At 33.7% G+C, this 22,225-nt stretch overlaps 1 annotated feature.

Annotated features, from left to right (window-relative positions):
- Nucleotides 7,547–15,334: an enhancer, noted in NCBI's record as "VISTA enhancer hs1989". NCBI's record gives its function as "enhancer in: limb[3/3]" and the evidence as "EXISTENCE:transgenic organism evidence [ECO:0001131][PMID:17130149]".

Raw genomic sequence — 22,225 nt, 5'->3', positions numbered from 1 at the left:
GTTGTTATTACTATTCCCATTTTATAGATTAGGAAACTGAGGCACAGCCTAATGTCACACAGCTGGAAAGCAGTAGAGTAAGACTGAAAACCTGGCAGTCTGGTGCCAGAGTCCATGTGCTTAACTAATTATGTTACACTCTTCCTACATACATGGGGAAAATGGAGTGGAAGGGATAGTTATGAACTAGTTGTTTGTCTAGAAGCTTCAGAATTTTGTTTTGTTGTTTTCATTTTTAAATATCAGATGGTGTAATTACTCCTTTCTTCTCTATTGGATTTATCCTCAAATTATTGCTGTTGTTTTAAAGTAAGGTCCAGAGTTCCTAACAGAAAGAACCCATGGAAATTACCCTCAGCTTGCTGGTACTGGGTATGGCTCTGACTTAAGACTTATGGAGCCTGACAGAATATGCATTGGCACATTGTGTTTCTACTCATAAATCTTGGCCTTCTACTTTTCTGGCTTGAATTAAATTATCCAATGAACATTTTTATTCTCCTGATGCTCTCTAGCAAGTGAATTTATAGGTACTTAGGAAATACAGAATTATTATGAATCAGAATTTATTATGAATCAGAAATTATAGTACTCTAGGTTATAAGTTCTGTGAGGGCAGATAATGTGTTTGTCTCAGCACTTTGTCTCCTACTGCAGTGCCTGAGATCTTATAGATGTTCAATAATATTGTTATTATTAAATAAATGAATTAATAAACGATAGGCAAGATTTGATAAAACCTACTTGATTTGAATTTGCTCATCCTGACACTATTGCTCTGGATACTCTCTGTTCTAAGTCAAATTCATTTTACCTTCCATCATTGTTAAGTTTCTAAGCTGATCAGCATTCTGTGGTTCTCTGCCAGACATGTTCCAACTTATCATGCCTCACAGCTTCTTGAATTAAACATAGAATCAAATTTCTATTGTATTCACCTGTTTATAATTTCAAAGTATTTTTTCGTTATATTGAATCACCATTTACTATCTGCTTATAATAGAAATAAAACTATTTAATAATCATGTTGCATTTTAAACATAGTTTTCCCTCACAACAAAGTTCTATCTTGGGAGAATAAGTTATTCTCCAAGCTTTGAAAGAAAAGAAATAAATAAAAATACATAAATATATAATATACATGTAATTATATATAACAAAATTTTAAGCTAAGTGTTCAAGACTGTTTTCTTCATTTATATAATTTTCATATGACAAGCAATATAAAGCACTTAAGAGTCTATAAAACATTCATTGTACCATTAAATTGGCATACATTTGTAAAAGTTTACCTTTCATTACAATGATATGTCAATGTAAGATGATGTGGTACGCAGCTGCTACAGAGATTGTATTCCATGGCATGAATTTGTTGGAGATCATAAAGATTTAAAATGACAAGCCAATTATAATAGAAAATATGTGCATAAGACAGTAAAATGAACTAAATATATATTTATTATAAAGAACAATTCCTTGGAAAATATAAAACAAGCTTAGAAGAGCAGTATTTTAAATAAGAGTTTGCAGTAGATACAGAAATTGGATACACTTTTCAAAGGACCCAAGAACAGCTTTCCAGTTGTTATGATGCTATGTCTTTCTAGGAAATCCAAATTTTACATGAAAATAAATACCTCAAGGCCAGGCACAGTGGCTCATGCCTGTAACCCAGCAATTTGGGAGGTTAAGGTGGGTGGATTGCTTGAGTTTACAAGTTCGAGACCAGCCTGGACAACATGGCAAAACCCTGTCTCTGCAAAAATAAATAAATAAATAAATAAATAGCCAGACATGATGGTGCATGCCTGTAGTCCCAGCTACTTGGAAGGCTGAGGTGGGAGGATGATTTGAGCCCAGGAGGTGGAAGTTCCAGTGAGCTGAGATCATGCCACTGCACTCCAGCCTGAGCAATAGAGCCAGAACTTGTCTGTATATGTATATGTATATGTATATGTATATGTATATGTATATGTATATGTATATGTACATACCTCAAACCAACTATAAAGATCAGTAGAATGTTTCACCAAGGAACAGACCATATATTAATTTTCTGAAAATAGTTAATGGAAGCAAAAATGAACTATGATCTCCAATACAGACATGTAAAAAACAATTCCCATCTGAGGAATGAAGTAAAACCAAACATTGATTCTAGTATAGGAAGTCTTAGACTAGCATATAGAACAAGAAACCAGAGTGCCTAAAATTTGGGGAAGATACTAAAAAGTATTTGTAACGGAAAATTTTAAAATAATATGTATGAGTTTTAGATATTTGCCAGAAAATTTTTAAAGGTAACAAAAGAATGAAAATAGTAGAAACATGTCATTTTAGTATTGTGGACCCTTGCTACTTACAGCTCTCACCTTTGTCAAACTTAAAATTATAACATAAAACATTTATTGAGATCTGTGTCCTGGCAGACAGACTTAGAAAGAAGGTTAACCATTGACATTTTGTTGATACTAAAATTTCCCCAAATCTGCCTTGTCCTATTGTCAGCCATTTTCCCTTTATTAGTGTCCTCTGAAAGCACTTGCATCTGCTCTCCTTCCAATTTTTTTTCTCTCCTTACTTCCAAAAATGCACCCTAAGGCAAAAAACTGTGTTCATAATCCCCTCTGCTATTATAATAGAATGGGTAGGTGCTGTTATGTCCACAGAAATACTTCCAGTCTCTCATTACATCCCTTAAGGATTGCAGACATACTTTCCATTAGTTGACAGCATACCTTTTATAAAACTTCTTGGTTATCCAATCCCTGACCATTTAATAAATTCTTTCATGGATAAATGAAAAATGAATTGAATCACTATGTGCTAAATAAAAGGTAGTATGTCAACAGATACTTCACTGCTTTAATATTCAATACAATTCTTTCTGTAACTATTTTTAAATGGAGGGGGGATGAAAACTTTGATCACAGATCTGCAAACTGTATTTAATCAGGAAAGTTATAATTATTCACTTTTTCAAATTATCTCAAAATTACACCTATCTGATCTGCAAAAAAAAATATTGATACATAAAGAACTTCCTGGATACAACATTCTGTCCTAATAAATTAGAAAGAAGTGTATTCTTAATGTTTTTTTGGTTTTCAACTTTATAACCAAGAACCTTTATGAGAAGATAGTATAAAGTGATACAATTATTGAAAATATGGAGCAGGAGCGACACCAGATCCATGACCCTGGAAGAGCTACTGAACTTCTCTGATGACTCTTTATTTTAAAATGATGAAACTGTTAATACCAATTTGATAAGCTCAGAGAGAGAACTCAATGAATTTATATGTGTAAAGTGCTTTTTACGTTCCGTTTCTGGCATATGCTAATTGCTGTATAAACCTTTACTGTCCTAAAGATTCCAATAATAATTCTCTAACCCAGAAATAAGTACCATGATTTCAGAAACTATTTTAATATGACAAATGAAAATATGTATGCACCGCATGCACATATATTTTATATACACATATACTGTATACACATATATGTATATAAAATGAAGCCATTTGTAAAGATTTCCTATGAAGACTACAGGATATGAGGCATATATATGTACTTTTTTTCAATATAACAAATATCTCTTACTATTTTCTCCATTTACTCCCTACGCTGGATAATCTAAGGATGTATCTCTTCAACTTTATCAAATAGGGGTCACCATTGGGAGAGCCTTGATAGATTATATCTGTAAAGATGGCCCCATCTAGCTGAGGGCAGAGTTTCAATGTCTGAACTGATTTCCCCAGGGAGAACTCACTGGATATGAAGTTTCACTGAAATTCACACCCAATAGCAAAGTGCAGGGAGGCTCACAATTAACCACAATATGTTCAGTTCTTCAGATGAGCTTTTTATAGAGACAACTATACTTAACCTGTATGTTCCTTCTGTATGTACCAGTGATTCACGTTAGTTAAAAATAGAATCTAGGGAACGCAAATATAGCCTAATAACTGAAGGAATTTCATATTTCTTTGTGTTGTTTGAGTATATAGGCGCAGTTGGAAAAAGATTGCTCACAGGTGTCAAGCCACAAGACATAATTCCTGGTCATGAGGATACATTTGAAGGTGTGCTTATTCCAGTGGGGAAAAAATAGAGTAAATACCATGTCACTGCTCAGAAGTCCAATCTTGAACAGACTTAGAAATGATTAAGAAAGTCTATTTTCCCTCATTTAATTATTTGGTGGAATGTTTAAGGCTATTTTTTCCAAAAACAATAATTTTATTTATGTCAATTTAAAAAGTATTATATTTGTAAAAATATCTTTTATAGTTTATATAATTTTTTTATTTATTGGAAGGTGGGGACTACATTTTTTGATCAAGTGCATCTCGTGCTGTGATAAGTATATTCCATACATATTCTTCGTTCATGCTTTTAACAAATAAGCACTATTGTATTTTCCAACTTTATAGATGAGGAAACTGAGGTCTTTAAGTAATGTCCTGTCTAAGTAGTTTCAGGAGTGAAGCAGGAATTTTAACCAATTCTGTGCTAGTCTAAAACCTATGCCCTTACGCTACACTATGCAGTTGTTCTACCTGATATGAATACTTTGAGTGAATTATGTTTTTGTTTTCTTCAACTGGCTGTTTTGACAAAGTGGTAAATAAGGAGTAGTGCTTTTCCAGCTTCCCTTTAAGTGGCTCAGGCCACTATATATTTTTTTATTATTCTGCTTCCATTGTGTTTCAGTTTTCCTTTAAGTGGCTCCACCACTATATTTTTTATTTTTCTGCCTCCATCATTTGTCTATTTCATCTTTTGGATTTAGGGATGTTATTGCTTAAGCAAAGGTACCAATGGAATCATAAGTACAAAAGATGTGTATGGCCAGATGTGTGACTACTAAGTGCCAATTATAGCATCAAGATACCCTACCATGGTGCTTTTAGGAAACCTATTTCAAAACATTTTTTCCTTTCCTATTCAAGAAAGCTATGTTTTTATAGCCTTTGAGAAATCTTAGTGAAATAACCAGGAGGCTATGAGGAGTCACTTCAAGAATAATAAGTTCCTCTACCCAAACATCTGTCTCTTGTCAAAGGAGGAGCACCTCCAAGAAGTTGAGACAAAATATGCTACTTTTAAAACTCCACAATGTAAGCACCAAGACCTAATTCCCACAGGTAAATCCTGAGACACTTAGCACTCAAATAAGAAAAATATAGTAATCAGTTCTCGTTATTAAATTGAGTTTTTTAAAAAGATTTAAAAATGCTAAAACCAATGTTACAGGTTTTCAAAGCCATTGGGTTTAAACACTATCAATGGAAAATAATATAACATAAGATATTCTTTAGAATCTAAGACTTGGTGGACAATGTTTGTGAAATCTGGAGTTAAGGACCAAAACAACACCTATAGAACCGTGAAGCTCACTCAGTAAGCACTAGTCATCAGTTTTCAAGTTTCTAGATGAATTGAAAGTATAATTACTTTGGAAATAGGAGGGAGACTATTTCAGAGTTTTAAAATTAATCCTGCCTTTAATTAATTAATTAAAATTAATCCTGTCTCTGAGTCTATGAAAGCAGGAACCTTGTCTCATTAATCATCCTACCCATAGTACCTTTTGTTATGTATGACTGATGTGGGTGCTTAAAATATATTGGGAAAAGGAATCAGTGAAATAAATAATAAATGAGTAACTTGATAGTAGCCACAGGCAGAAAACACCACATGATTCCAACATAGGATAAAAGACTGAGAAGAGAGCTGAGTAGAATACAAAATAAATAGCTCTTTTCCCAATTTCTCTTCTACTGTCTCCGATGATCTACAAACCTAAATGAAAGCTTGGGTGTTGATGAAAGTTGTTAGTACTTATGCCCTATGTTCAAATCCCAGAAAAGTTTTCTCTGTGTCAAATTGTGGTTTTTCTCTTCTGTCTTTTCCTCGTTGGTCATTTTCCCATTCTTCTTAATGTCATACCGAATGCAAAGTACATGTTGCAATATTCCTAAATTCTCTGACCTAACAATCTTGTACTAACTTAAAAAAAAAAAAAAAAGGAACGTTCTAAAGGTCACACCAAAGCAAAGAACATCAGCCATCTTAGGATCTCTCCCTTAAATATGCACTTAAATTTCTTAATTAATAAATTCAAGTCACCAGTTGTCATCAAGTAGTCTTATTCTGGAGGGAAAAAGGCTGTAAATTGATCAGCTAGGTAATTCATCAACTCCTCCACATGAACGCCCTAGAACCCTACCTCAATAATTCATTGTGTCAATTTACTACACGTTCTCAGATAAGTTGTATTCCCACAAAATCGCATAGTAAAACCCCAAATAGTTTTTCTTTATATAAATTATATAGAAAAACTAAAGGAATTAGGACACTAAACCTACACATTGTTAACAAAACTTAGTGATGTGATTAGACCAGAGTGTTCTTTTCACTAGTAACCTACAGGGAAACAGAAAACTTGAAACTAGAAGGACCGCTTCAATAAAACCTAGAAATGTGATTAGTACTTTATACAACACTAACAATATTTTGTAGAATAATATTTAGAATTGAGAATTCAATTCAAAGTAGTTTTACAATTCAGTCCTTGCAATGAATAAGCTTTTGTTTAGAGGATTCAAAAATGCATAAGAAACACTTTCTTGAACCTAAGAGCTGATCAGTTAATTTTGGAAGAAGAATAACATGCACATAGTATTAATATGAAGCCGAAAGTACATTTCAGAAAGGAAATATTAAATATTTTAGGAATAAAAGAAGAAAAGCTTCTATCTAGTTAGGAAGATTATTAGATATTTTAAGATGATTATTCTATTTTGAACAGAAAGGTAGAGATACAGGTTATAGGAGAGTCTAATTTCATCCTGGTGCAAATATTTAGTGTGTACTTATAAAATGACAGATAAACATATTTAGTGCAATATATACTACGTTTTACAGTGATTACTATGTGACAGGCACTCCCCTAAGGACTGCACACAGAGAATTTAATCCATTCAATAGCAATATGAAGTTAAGTTTTGAGATACTCTGTTATTCCAATGACAAAAGTGGGTTAGACCTGGGCAGCCTTACTCCATAAAACTTGTTCTTAAATACTTCATCACCCCAGCGCTATGCAATATACCCATGTAAAAAACCTGTACACATATTCCCTAAATCTAAAATTAAAAAAAATGCTGCATCACATTCCTCTCACTTCTTATAACTGTCTAACAGGGAGAATAGTGTGAAAGGTATGGCCATTAACAGAAACATAGATGTCAAGAGGAACTACTCTGGGTAGAGAAAACGGGGAGTTCCTATTTCTGTATTTCAGATGACAAGATTTGATATGATACTCATGGAGTTGGTTTAAAGAGTTGGAGAAAACTGTAATCTTGATTTGGAAAATAAGTTTATAGAGCTGAGTATGGAATAAATGAGGTCGAAGCAGGGACAAAGGTAGAGAGAGGAGAGGGTAAAGAACAAATTCTTCTCTTCACTTAGAAAAGAAAGAGCAGGCAAAGTTACTACTGTGTCAAAACAGCATTCAACTTCTCACCTGTCCATCACCCACTGCCAGACTTTGTATCTGGCCTGCAGAACTTGAAAATATTTGCAAATTAGGTTGGAATTAAAACTAACATTTTGTGTATGCATTTAATTCATGCCATGGGTTTTACCAACTCTACCTCCTTGAATACACATCGTTTTATTTTCTCCTTTTTAGAAATGAAGAACCTCACACATCTCAACATCCTATAGATGGGAAACTAGGAGTCAACTTCAGATTGTCCAATTCCAAATTGGTTTAAATTTTTCAAACTGTATGTTAGAGACATCTGCCTTTTTTTCATCAACTTGCTTTTAAAGTAGTTTAGTTTTTATTATTGTGATTGAAATGACTTCGTTTGAAGGAGTGAGAAGACTTTTTAACATGAAGTAATGGTCTGTCATTCTTACAGTCATACTCATCCGATCATGAAACACAGTTTATGCAGGGAAAAGCAAAACCCAACATGATAAGTAGAGTTCTTGTTTAAACTAATGATTACCCCGTTTAAACAACATGAACCAAGTAGTTGTCAATATATGTAGTTATTGAGGAGATATTTTTGAAATACCAGCATGAGTATTTGTCCTAGGCAAGTATCATCTATCCATCAAAAGATAAAAAGGAGCCGAGACTAACACACACACCCTCACACGCACATTCACACTATTTCTGCCTTAGTAATTGGACAAAAGTTTGTTCTGTTTCTTAAGATTTTTGTTTTGTTTTTTCTTTATATTGTGTATGAACAATTTCCTTTTTGTCAAGTGGGGCTTTGGGACTTATTCTAGACAAAACTCACCTGATTTGAGCCCTGAGGAAATGGATTTAAATCTTCTCTTAAGGGTAATCAGGGAGGTCAAGAAGCATGTTAATTTAGGTACATAAAACACCATGGCCTGATAGATGAGCTATCTGTTCCACCTTCCAACTTTCTAAATTCCAGGACATCAGAAGCAGGTCATGCATTTTCAGAGGAAGGGGTGGGGAAGTGGTATTTCCTCTTTTGTAAGAGAAAAAGGAAATCTATTCATTTAGGTTGTATGGGTTTGATCTTGATCCTTCTGATGTAGAGTTGTCATGTGTTTGTTAGATAGGCAAGAAAGTTGTGCACTGACCCAAAGGAAAGCATAACGTCTGAATTATGACACCGCTCCTCCTACCAGCAGCCACATAAAAGAACCTTCTGCATTAGTAACTATTCAGGTTGACAGGGAAAGTTTGAAGGGGAATGTGATAGAATGCCATAATATAAAAGATGGAAGAAAGAGAAAAAACAGATATCACTTTATTCTCCATTAAGAGTTCTCACACATAGGAGGAGAGGTTGAAGAAAGAATAAAAATGTAAAAGGTGATATCAAAGGTGTACTCAATTCTGACTTTTATTCTAGCCATTCACCCTTTTGTACTGCATTTCATCTCTCAAGCTTTTTTTCTATAGTTTTCATAATAAATCTGATACATTTTAGAAATGCAGTTTAAAAAGGAAAGAGAGACTAGAATTGAAGCTTTCTCTTTCCTAACAGTTTTTTGGTTGTTAATGCCTCACTAAAAATACTACTATTTCCTGTTCATGTTCAAATTCATTCTGATATTTCATTCTGATGCCTTCAACATTATCGATTCATTATAATGTACAGATAATGTTGATATGGCATGACTGTAAAACACCAATAGGCAAAGGGCATCAAATGATCTATTTTTAAAATAGAAATGTCATTTTCCATAGTGTGAACTCTATCTGTATGAAATAACCTATCTAGTCATGCAACATAGTGAAAATCAATAGAATATGAAAGTACTAGTTATGATACGTAATATGTTTACAACAAATGTAACATCCCATGTGCTTGACTGAATTGAGCTTTAATGCCTTCATTTAAGCTTGGCTGACATGAGATTAAATGTTACAAGATAGGATATTTTTAAAAAAATCCAGCACTCCAGCCACATTATTTAAATATTTTTGGCAACTCTGCATTTTAATTTTAAAACACTTTTTGCCTTTATTAGGATTTTAGATCTTTGAAACTATAATGTGACATTACTATTGTTGTGAGAATAGGAAGAAACATTAATCTGCATGTTATCATTGCTTGCAGATGTTCATTTTTGTCCTATTTAAATGACTGCAAATTTTGTCATTTTTTTCTGAAAAGGCACTTCATTTTATATGTTACATCAGAGATGATATGAAAATTTACATTTCATATGTATATATAATGGAAAAATATTCTATCAGATTCTATTAAAATATAGCTAAGTGATAAGTCAGAAGCTCAAATTAGGTGTTCAAAAACGTGTTCGAGTAAATAAAATTTCTTATTTCTATTAGCCAGGAATTTTACATTTGCAAGTTGTAGAAATACAATAACATTGATTCAAAGCCCCCAGAAAGGAAGTGGGATTTATTGACTTTATAAATCTCTGAAGTCCCAAAGTTTACCTTCACATATGGTTGTATCAAAAATGTCATGAAGACTCTGTTTTTTGTTTTGGTTTTTTGTCTACCACCACCACCCAACCCCACCTGCATCCCATGCCCTTGTTTTTCTCCAGGTTAGCCTTATTTTCAGTTAGGTCCTTTCCTTCTAATGACCCTAACAGTGCCCAACTTTCATCTTCCTACCTAATTCATCAAGGCAGAGGAAAATCTCTCTTGTACAATAGTTACCAAAAATGTCACTAGTTAAATTTCAGTACCAAGGCATGAATACTGAGGTTACTTCTAGGTCTCAAAAGTGAGGTCATCCTACATGGATTAAGAGTGAGGAAGAGGTGGTTTCCCAAAGCAAAATACAAGCATTATTTACACAACATGTATACACTACATAAGCTCACCTGAGATAAATATATATTTTTTAGTATATTTCAGTAATGGAACTTCACCAGCATTAGAATTCTGCAAGGTGTCTAAACTATTCCTAATGGTCACCTATAATTTTGAAGGCTAATATTTTGTCATTTTAATACTCTAATTTTATTTAATTTAAAGGAGAGTCTATGTGAATAAAGTATTATTAACAACATTATTTGAAGAATATTTATTTCATTGCAAACCAGAAATCCATCTCAAAAATCCATTGAATTTTCTAACAATCAAATTCACCTAATAAATGAAGTTGGTGCTAATAAGTGACGACAATATGCTTGAGTTGTTTTTCTAAGAGAAGGAATTTTTTTTGAGGTTAGTACATACATAGGAACTTGTCCATTCTCTCATGAGTAGCTCATATGTGCAAGACACTTGGCTGGTCAGGGTGAGATACAGTCTGTGATCACTATGTCAAAAAAAGCCAACTGGCCCAACAGAGATCAAACCCCTGACCTCAGCCTCATTTCATGTAGATTCAAATCAGTTGTGCTTACTAGCTACAGACATGCATGAGTGTCAGTAAATATCCCAGATTTCCTGACATAGGATCCTTCCCTACCAGGCCACAGCTGAGCTTAGTGAGCCCAAACTGATGACTCATCCAGAAGCAGCCATGCAAATCTTGGCTTCCTGAGGAAGGAACCAGAACAGCAGGCCAAACAATCCTTAGAAGCTGATAAAGCTTAAATCAGCACCTTCTCCATTTTCCAGCACTCTCCTCTGCCTTCTCTGCCTTGGCATACTGATGTATTATACAACAGTTACATAACTTCTCAGGAAATAGAGCCCAGAGCCAGATGCTTTCTGAAGAATTAGAACTATTATCATTTTTATTGCTATAAGTTTGAGTTGTTCTTTTTTTAAAAAAAAAATCTCTTAGAGAATGATATACTCAACCAAATACAGATCTGGTTTCAGTCATAACAGGATTTAAATCTTGACTTTCAGATTCCAAGTTGGCATAACTTAAACAAATTTTTATGTTTTTACTGTTTCACACTCTACAAATCAGGTTCCAAAAGTATGTCAAGTATTTACCTTCAACATCTAATGAACATGTTCTATTCTCCCCATTATCTCCATCATCTCACTTTCTGGTTTCTCTCTAAATGGAGATTCTTTCTAGCCCTTGATATATGTGACTAAAAAGATATATTTTACCCTATATTTTATATTTCATACATATTTTATATTTCATACAATTTCATAATGCAGTATTTGACAAAGTGTGCTTAGAGTATTTACTTATATGTAGTTAAAATACTTGAAAAAGTTTTTGTGCTGGAGCTTTCCCAGTGCACAATGCCTATCATTATATTCACTTCAGATCATTACTTATTAAATATCTTTGATAATGAAAATCCTGATCAGAATTTATTGACTGAGCCTATCTTTTTAAAATATACATTTTATTTTACAGGCCTTAACACTAATACTCTATTCTTCTATCTATTATTATATGGTGATAGTAAGGTTCAAATTTTCTGAAGATTGAATCAGATATTCGGCCACTAAGTAGCTTGATTTAACCTCTATGTATGTAGATAAACAAACAAAATCTAAAGAATAAAGGGTCAATTTTATTAACTGTTATTTTAAGCTAAGAAGGAAAGAAAAGGAATGGAGGCTGGATAAAATAAAAGAAGAAAGAGTAATAAAGGAAAAGAGGAAAGGAGGGAGGAAGAAATGCAACAAGGTATTGCTTATAAATTTTCCATATACTTTTGTATCAGTCTGTTCTCACACTGCTATAAAGAAATAACTGAGACTGGGTAATTTATAAAGAAAAGAGCTTTAATTGGCATGTGGTTCCACAGGCTGTACAAGAAGCATGACTAAGGAGGCCTCAAGAAACTCACAATCATGGTGGAAGGCAAAGGGGAAGCAGGCATGTCTTACATGGCTAGAGAAAGAGGAATTAAAAAGAAGGGGGACGTGCTACACACTTTTAAACAACCAGATCTCATGAGAACTCACTCATTATCATGAGACTAGCAAGGGGGAAATCTGCTAGTCTCATGATAGCTGATTCAATCACCTCCTATCAGGCCCCTTCTCCAACACTGAGGATTACAATTAAACATGAGATTTGGGTGGGGACACAAATCCAAACCATTCAACTTTTAATACTATATTTTCTGTTTAAAACTCTGTAAAAATACAAAATTCAAAAACATATAGACTATTGATCCATAATATCAAAGAACTTTTAAAGTTAGAGTCAATAAGGTATGCATATAAGCAGTTGATACTGAATGAGTATTTGTTGAGAAACCCAGATAAAATGGCCAGGACATCTTTAAAATCTATTTCTGTGGTTTTTTTAAAAAATTTATTTCAAGCCAAAATACACTACAAAGAAAGCACAAGTTCATGAAGGAAAGAAATGAAGTGATCGTCTTATTTGGAAAGATTTATCAAGTTCCTTTTTTCACAGTTTGAGGCAACTCTGTGAGCACTGAAACCTGTGAAAATATTGTATATTGTACAACTGAAAACATTACAGATATCCTGAAAAATAACAAAAGTGAAACATAATGCTATTTCAGTTACAAAAAGTTAAATATAAAAATTTATAATAATGTAACTTATATGGATGGTTATAAACATATAATTCTAGACACATATAGAAACAGGTATAAAATACTGTAATTAAAACATCCATTAAAGCACATATGGACTTTAGAGTCTCATTGAAATTGCACTATTAACTTTTAAAGGGTCTTAAAGCTGCCAGTTCAGCTGTTTAAGTAATAGGAAGACTTGTAACAGGAACATACTAGGTCGATGTACTAGAAAAGCCTATATTTTATACCTCTTTAATGTTAGTATTTTCTGGGATATTTTTTACATATTTCATTAATAGCAGAACCTTTATGTAGGTGTTATTTCAGCTACAGAAAGACATTCTAGAATGCATATAAATGTACTTTGTTTGGTAGACAGTATCAAGGGAAACATTAAATATCCTTAAGTCTGATTAACCTGAAGTGTGCTTATGAAGGCCATTTTATCTCTCAACCAGAATTCCACAAGTGGTCATCATCCCACAATGTCAGTGTTAAGAAACTATTGAAAGTGGCAAGGTTGGGTTATAGTGAATTTATAGAAAAAGTGAATCCTCAAGTACTCATGACCTACGCAGGGCCATTGAAGAAAAGAAAACTAGAAGATTTAGTTAGGTCATTCTACAATTAGTTCCTCTTGGACAATTCCTTCTAAAAACTATCTCAGAAGGCATGAAGTATTTCAACATTATCTATGGAGTTGCGGGGAGAAAAAAAGATATTGTTTATGGCACAGAGTACAAAGTAAATGTGAATCCAAACATTTATTTAACATTTCTCTTATACTGACTCCATTTGGCCTCCTGAGTATCCATGTTAATTCCAGTATCCATGTCTCCACTCTTATTACTCTTTTCTGCTGAAACATCATTGTTTTCTCTGTTGTCCATTTCCTATCAATTTCTATCCGTTGTTCAAAGATTCAGCTGAAAGATGACTGCCCCCTCAACTACTCTGTTCAAAAGATTTTCCTAACTACTTATTTCTCCCTACCTTCTTTCTCTTTTCCTTTCTCCCCACTTTCTTCTTGTGTTGCACTGCTAGATTTAGAAGAGGTATTGTAAATTTGTTTTGTTCTTAGGGGTTATGCTCTTACTTTATAGACTTTCCCTTTGGCAACCCTTTAAAAATGTAAAATGTTGAGTCCAACCTTTAATCTATTGTTTAGCAGCAGTTTTCTCATACATCCATGTGAACACTCAGCACAGCATTAACCCTACTCTTTAAATAAGGAGCCACTCCAAAATTGGAATCAAAATATCATCTGTTAAACTCTTTCTAAAATAAAGATGATGTCAAGCACTTCTACAAATTATCTCATTTAAAAATGGCAACAATCTACTCCCCTCCATCCCCACTGGACCCACATTAGGTGGAGAAGTGATCATTTAGCCAGAAGCCAGACTATTCTCCTGTTCCTTTTCTCTATCACCTTTAAAACTTAATATTAACATGAACTGAAGAAAATAATGACCAATGTTCACACATGGAAAAAGATGTGAAAATTGTCTCTACAATTCAAAGCAGTATTTAAGTATCAGGCTTTAGAATCTCTCATAAATGTGCACAAAACACTACCTTCAATTTTCCACATCATTAACTTTTTAAAACATAAGCCAGAGCTACTTGAAACTTGTCCCTTAAACACAGTCATTATCACCGTTTTAACATATTCTTACATGGGAGAAAAAAAGGGTTGAGATAGAGATGGAAAGATTGGAATTATGCATAGCCTCCATCATCACATACATACTCTTTGACCATATTCTCTGAGTATCCCCTTCGCCTAAATGAGGTCAATATCCTCAAGTTGTTTTTTTTTCCCTGTAGTTTTAAAGCCACTGAGAATCAGGCTCTTACTCTGTGTCAGAGATTTGGTTAAATGCTTTATATATATATTTCAAAGAGGAAAAGACAAATTTTTCTTGGGAATCAAACTTTAAAACATTGTGGAAATGGTTTCAATATTCTGGGGGAAAGAAAAGAAAAAACCCAAGGCTGAATCCCCCAGTGTCAGAAGGATTTGGGAAACTGGCGTTAGGGGAGGTACTAGAAGGTGAGACTGAGAAAGAAGAGGAAGGAGCCCAATTCTATTTGGGATCAATGTGAATGATAACTTCGTGACAAGTTTCTGGTTGAGGAATGGCTGAGGAACTTTTGAAAGTGGTATAACTCTAATATATTTATTGAAACAACTGCAAATCTTTGAAATTTAGTAAAAATGTGTCCCCCTCCAATACACACAGACACACACACACATACTCTTATGATAGTGGTAGCAAGAAAAAGCATGTGGAAATCAAGATAGCACTAAGTTTATGATAATGTATTATGGAAAAGGAGCCTAGAGAGGGTGGGGACCAGTGAAAATCAGAAATGAAAGGGGCTTGGAACATGTGTGCATCACTAAGAGGCTTTAGAAACTGGATTGCAACCTGGTGTCTTGTGATTACAAGTGGTGAGATATTGGGGAAGTCTTTAATCCTTTCTAAGACTCATTCATCAGGAGTAGTTACGAAAGATGATAATTTTTACCTTGAGAGATTCTTGTATAAATTAATATGAAATATATATATATGGCCGCTGATGGGTTATATTGATATACTTAGTGTATTCCTCTCCTTAAGCCTTTCTGTTCCCTATGACTTAAAGTAGAAATCCACCCATACCTTTTATACTATCTACCAGTAACAATAAGGAGTATTTCCAGTAATAAATGTTAAGGGCACTGCTGTAGAGAGCCAGGTGTCAATGTGGAGTCAATAATCTTGTCTCCGTGCTGTAATCCTGCCATGAGTAAGCTCTCCTTGGCTTATCTTTGGCTGTGGATTTCACTTAAACCATGAGCTGTGTATGACTACACATGCCAAGCCTTGTGTCAAGCACAAGAGGAAAATGATTAATATCTCTCCATATTCTTACCAATACCTACAATTCTGCTTCCTAGCTTCTTTCAAGTTAAGACGTGGTATAATAAAATAGTTTACATTAAGGTGATATAAAATTGTAATAGTCTAATGTGTAAACATCTATGAGGGTGATGAGTATATTAATAATACTAAAAATAGGTAACATTTACTGAGCACTTCCTGTGTGGCAGTCACTAATATAAATACCGTTTATCTTTTATAGTGTGTAACTTCATAGCAAGCATATATTAACAGTAAAGTTACTGTTAATATCCCCACTTTGAAAGTAAAAATAACAGCCAAACTTAAATAGGTGAAAGAATTTAGACAATTAACTTGTCACAGTTAAATAGCAGGACAACGATTCAAAAATGATTTGCAATATTTAATAAATATTAAGTCATTACTATTAATATCTGCTATTAATATTCATATTAATATTATTATTAATAGTCCCCTTCAAATATGTTATTATCTCATAGCATTACATAACAGGACAAATTAGATCATCATATTACTTTCTGACATAAAAAAGAGACTCTTGCCTTAATCTTTTGGAAATATTTTCTAAAAATTGAATCTTACCAATATCCCCATGACTTAATGTTTCTGAGCTCTAGTCCTCCATATCATGTCACTCTCTATTTAAAATCCCTCAAAATTTATAGATCTTATAGCTCAGAGAATGTAGTACACTTTTCTCTAAGGTCAGATTGATTAGCTTCTCCAGCTTTATTTTGCAAATACGTTAAAAGTTCTTCTACTTCTGTGCTTCCACTGCTGCATATAATCACCTTGCCAACCTCCACTCAACTCCAGGGCCAAATTAAGTATAACTTTCATGGCAAAGAGACCCTGTGCTCCAAACTAGGTTAAATCTACCTGTTAGAAGCTATCACTACGTATTCTTCCAGCCTCTTCCATGCAACAATAGCACTAATTAAAACCAATTCCTACAATTGTTTACTCTTTTCCCATAGATAGAAAAACCCATAAGGGTAAGAGTATGTCTATTCCATTTTGTTTTTCTTATTTTCACCACTTTATCCCATTTCCTATCATACCATGCCCTATATTCAGTACTGTGATGGTCAACTTTAGGTTCAACTTGACTGGATTAAGGAATATCTAGATAGCTAGTGAAGCATTATTTTAAGGTGTGTCTGTGAGGACATTTCCAGAGGAGATTGGTGTGTGAGTCAAGGACTGAGCGGGGAAGATTCACCCTCAATGTGGGAGAGCACTATCTAACCAGCTGGGGTCCGGCATAGAACAAAAAGGCAGAAGAAAGGTGAATTTGCTCCCTTTCTCTCCTGGAGCTGGGACACCCTCCTTTTCCTGACCTTGGACATCACAACTTTAGGCTCTCAGGCCTTTGGACTTCAAGACTCACAGCAGCCATTCCCCAGGTTTCTCAGGCGTGCTGCCTTGGACTGAGTTACAGCATCTGCTTCCCTAGTTCTGAGGCTTTTGGATTTGAAATGAACCACACTATCAGCATCCCCAACTCTGTCATGGGACCTCTCAGCCTCCGTAATCACATAAGCCAATTCTTCTAATAAATACCCTCTCATCTATCTGTCTCTCTATATATTCCTTTGGTTCTTTTTCTCTGGAGAACTCTGACTAATACAAGTACCAACCAGACATGTTCTTATGCGCACACAGACACCATATTCTAAATGTCCACACATTAGCTCCTTAACCTCTCCCCAAATCTTCAGAATTTGCCTTCATCTCCACCATGATGATCTGTCTATTTATTCAGTCACCTAGGAAATCGTTCTACACTGCCTTTTTCTCTGCCCCTGTTCATCCAGGGTCATCAAGTCACATGCATTCTGCTTCTTAAACTCTTCCTCCTCCCCATCTGCATGATTTTAGTTACAACACTCACTCTTTCTTGAAATATTTTCAGAACTTGTCTGGTCTCTTTGCTTCCAATGTGCCCCTCAAAAATATCTTTGTTTTTTTCTAAAAACACAGCTGGCCAAGTTAATTTCCTGCTGAAAGTCCTTCAATGAACTATTAATATTTAAATGTCTTCAAAATATTGTCTCATACTTTTTCTATTGTCCTCCCCCAGCACTCACATTCACTCCAATCTCTAATTCTGCTGCACATTTCTAATATCTTACCAATGTCTTGAATTTCATTGGCCTTTTTTTCTTCTTTTGTTTGGGGTACATTTCCCTCCTTTGGGAATGTAGGTAATGCCTATTAATCCTTAAGAATCGCCTGTCTATTCCTTTAAGAAACTTTCTTTTACTCACTCGTACCTCTTACTCCATTCTTCAGGGTTGGCCCTCCCACAGTGCCCCATAGTCAGATATATAATTTTAATATTGTATTTGTATTGTCAACTAATACAGAGATGGAGACATCAGATTTGGTTAGAAAAAATTTCAAAATACAAATTGGTTTAGAAAGAATACAATTTTCCATTGTTTGCCATTTTGTATGGCATTCAATATTTCATTCTCATTCCAATTTCAATTTGAGAGAAAATCCAGACACCACAAGAACCAACTGAGAGTTGTGGTTTTGTTTTGGTTCCATAATGAAACATTTGTAATAAAACCTTCCTAATGGTATGATGAAGCCTACGGGAACTGTAAAAACACAACAGCTCCCAAAGTTATTTTTTTCTTTTTTTTCTTTTTTTTTTTTTTTCTGTAGCTCTAAATTGTGGAGTTTTGAGATAAAAGCTTTAAAACCTTCAAAAATGATTTGAGTTACTTCCTGCTATTTAGAACTACAAAGACAATATTCCAACCTGGGTAACATTTTCCTGCATTAAGGGAACCTCAAAGGAATCTCCACAGAAGTAAGCTGTGGACTGTGAGCGACAACAAACGTGACCTCTCACTCTTTCACAGAAATCATGTGATGATTTCAAGGAACTGGTATCCTCTTCTTTTCTGTCTCACTCCTCGTGTTAGATGAGATGACGTTAGAGAGATATACTTTCATCAACCTACATGATTTTCTATTTGTCCTCTATAATTTTATGATTTATAAAGTTAAATGTTTGAAATATGAAAGGAAGACACCTGACTTTTTTATTTTAACCTGTCTTTCCAATGTCTTTATAAGCACTGTAATTTACTATTAAACCTATTATTTTATTTTCTACATTATAAGTGATTAAATAAGTTTGGATATTAAATGTTTTTAAATGAAGAAAATTCATAGATATCATTACAAAGATTACACAGATATCATTTAAATTGGATATTTTATATATATATATATGCTGTGGACTGTCTATGTATATGCAGAATTCACAGGAAACTATTGACAAGACAGAAATCTATTGACAGAATAGATAAATTCTGATTTTAAAAGCCCCCTTGAAAATTAAAAAGAGAAATCTCCCTGTATCCTCATTAACTTGACTGAATTTCTTAATCTGTCTCTTTCCAGATTTCATAGTAAATAACAATATCTACTTCGGATTTCTATGTTGGTCAAATGAAATACAATATATAAAGTTCCCAGCATAAACCTAGCATGTGAAAGACTCTAAGTAAATATAAGTATTCTCTCTCAAAATGTTTGAAATCATAGTAGTTCTAAATATTTAACAATTGTTTTATATGTTCAGCCATTGTAACATAATATTTTAAATTGTCAGAAAAGAAAATGTAGCTCTTAAACTGAAGTCATATGCTTATTTTGATCCAATATTTCAAAGGTCCAGAGCACATTTTTAGATTTAATCTACCCAGTACTTCGCATGACAAGTGGTAACAGTGGAAAATTGATGTCTCTTAAAAAAATATAATAGATATATTGTATTGAGCACAGAGTGTGAAAGTTGTGGTGTAGAGGAGAGAAAGAGGAAGGGTTCCAGTTTCCTAAATGAGGATTATCTCTTGTGGACTTTGAAATGTTAATATGTAATTTTACCCTGCACAACACAGTAATCCAATTTCCTAATCTGCACAGTGAAGATAATAGTATGTCATCTGTTTGCCTTTCATAAGTAACCCAAAATAAGGGGTTTACAGGGATATTTTTGCTTTAAGTTGTCTTATTGAGGTAAATTTGAAACAAATATTAAACTGAACATTCTTAAAGTTATAATCTAATACGTTATTACATAAATGTATCCCTGAGAAACCATCACCACAATCAAGATAGTGAACATTTCCATCAATATCATCACCACCAGGGATTCTTAGTGGCCGTGGATAATCCCTCCCTCTTATCTTCTGCCCCCCAGTCTCTTGAGCAACCACAAATCTGCTTTTTGTCAGTATAGATTATGTTGCATTTTCTGAAGTTTTATATAAATGGAATCACACAGTATGTACTCTTTGTTATCTGTATTCATTCACTCAGTTTAATCATTTTGAGACCAATTTATGTAATTGCATTCATCTATAGTTCATTATCATTTAGTGCTGAGCAGTATTCTATTGCATGAATATTCCAAAATTTGTTTATCATTTCCCTTATTGAAAAATATCTAGATTGTACTGAGTTTCTGGATATTACAAACAAAGCTTCTGGAACATTCTTGAACAAATGTTTGGATGGGTACATGCTTTGACATCTTGACAAACATCTAGGTATGGAATGGCTACATCATGTGGCAGGTGTATGGGTAAATATTTTTAGGAAATGAACATACTGCTTCCAAAGTGCATAATTTTACATTCTCATCAGCAGTATGAGAATTCCAGTTACTCCAAATCATTGCCAGCAGTTGGTAGGATCAGTCTTTCATTTTAAACAATCTAATAGGGATGTGGTAGTATCGCACTGTGGTTGTATATTTTTAATTGAACTTTTTACTTTGAAATAACTACAAATTCACATGCAGCTATAATAGAGATCTCATGTGCCCTTTGCCCATTTTTCCTCAATGGTAACATCTTGAAAAATGATAGAATAATATCACAACCAGAATAATGACATTGATGCAGTCAAGATGAAAAACAATTCTGTCACCACAAGGATCTCTTCCGTTGCCTTTTTCAAGTCACATCTACGGGCAATCTGTTGTTTTCTGTGTGCTTCTTTCGTTTCTTGTTCTTCTGTTTCTTTTTTCTTAGACCCCTGTGGGAAGCCTGAACATTTTCTAGGATTATATCTTGTTTTATTTGTAGTACCTTGTTATGCCATTTTATAGGTAGTTTGTTTTAGTGGTTGCTTTAGGTACTACAATATACAAACATAATTTGTTGTACTCTATTATTTATCAATGTTTTAGCATTTTGAGTGAGCAAAGTATAGAAATCTTAGTCCCATTTGTGTTTCTTTACCCTCTCCACTTTTTAAAAAAAGAGTTGTCTTAAGTATTTCTTCCACATACATAGGGCATCCATCAAATGGTATTGTAATTTTTGCTTCAATCATCAATTATGATTTAAGAAACTCATGAAAAGGAAGATCATCTATTATTTACTTTATTTTTATGAATTCTGATATTCTTTTTCCGTTTTAGAAGTTTCGAGCTTTCTTCTGTTTCTGTTTGTTTTCTGCTTAGAGAACTTCCTTTAGCCACTTGTTAAGGATAAATTTGCTGGCAATGGATTCTGTTAATTTTTCTTTGTCTGAGAATGTATTTATTTCCCATTAATTCTGAGTGATATTTTTGCTGGATATAAAATCTGTCATTGTTCACTTCTCTCAGTGTTTAATAAAATATTTTACTTTCTTTTGGTCTTCCATGATTTCGAATGAGAAATATGCTGTAATTCAAATCAGTGTTAGTACATAATTACTGTGTTGTTTCCCTATGGCTGCTTTCAATATGTTTTTTTGCTCTTAGTTTTCAGGAATTTAATTATGACGCGTATTTACATGGATGTGTTTGTTTATCCTATTTGGAATTGGCTCAGCTTTTTGAAACTGCAGGTTTATGCCTCTGTGCAAATTAGGGAAGTTTTCAGCCATTATTTCTTAAAATACTTTTCAAATACTTCAAGTACTCTTCTCTCCTTTTGTGACTGCAGTGATATCAATTTAGCCATTTGGGATTGTCCAACAGATCATTTTAAGTACTTTTTTTTGGTTAAGTACTTTTTTTTCGTTTTTCACTTTGGGTAAATTATCTTCATCTATTCTCCAGTTCATTGGTTTTTATGTCCTTTCATCTCCATCTTAATATTGAGCCCATTCTGTAATTTTTTTCAGTTATTAGATCTTTTAGTTCTATAATTTCCATCTACTTCTAACTCCTATTTATTTGCAGATTTTTAATTTTTTCACTTGTATAAAAAGAATTTGTAATTGCTTATTGAAGCTGTTTCAATATCTTGTCAGATAATATCGACATATGATTCATCTCGATGTTGGTATCCATTGCTTATATTTTCTCACATTTTGAT

This window comes from Homo sapiens, chromosome 1, assembly GCF_000001405.40.
Source record: "Homo sapiens chromosome 1, GRCh38.p14 Primary Assembly".
In the NCBI taxonomy this organism is placed as follows: domain Eukaryota; kingdom Metazoa; phylum Chordata; class Mammalia; order Primates; family Hominidae; genus Homo; species Homo sapiens.
The sequence above is the reverse complement of the archived record's forward strand: the minus strand, read 5'-3'. Positions and strand labels throughout refer to the sequence as shown.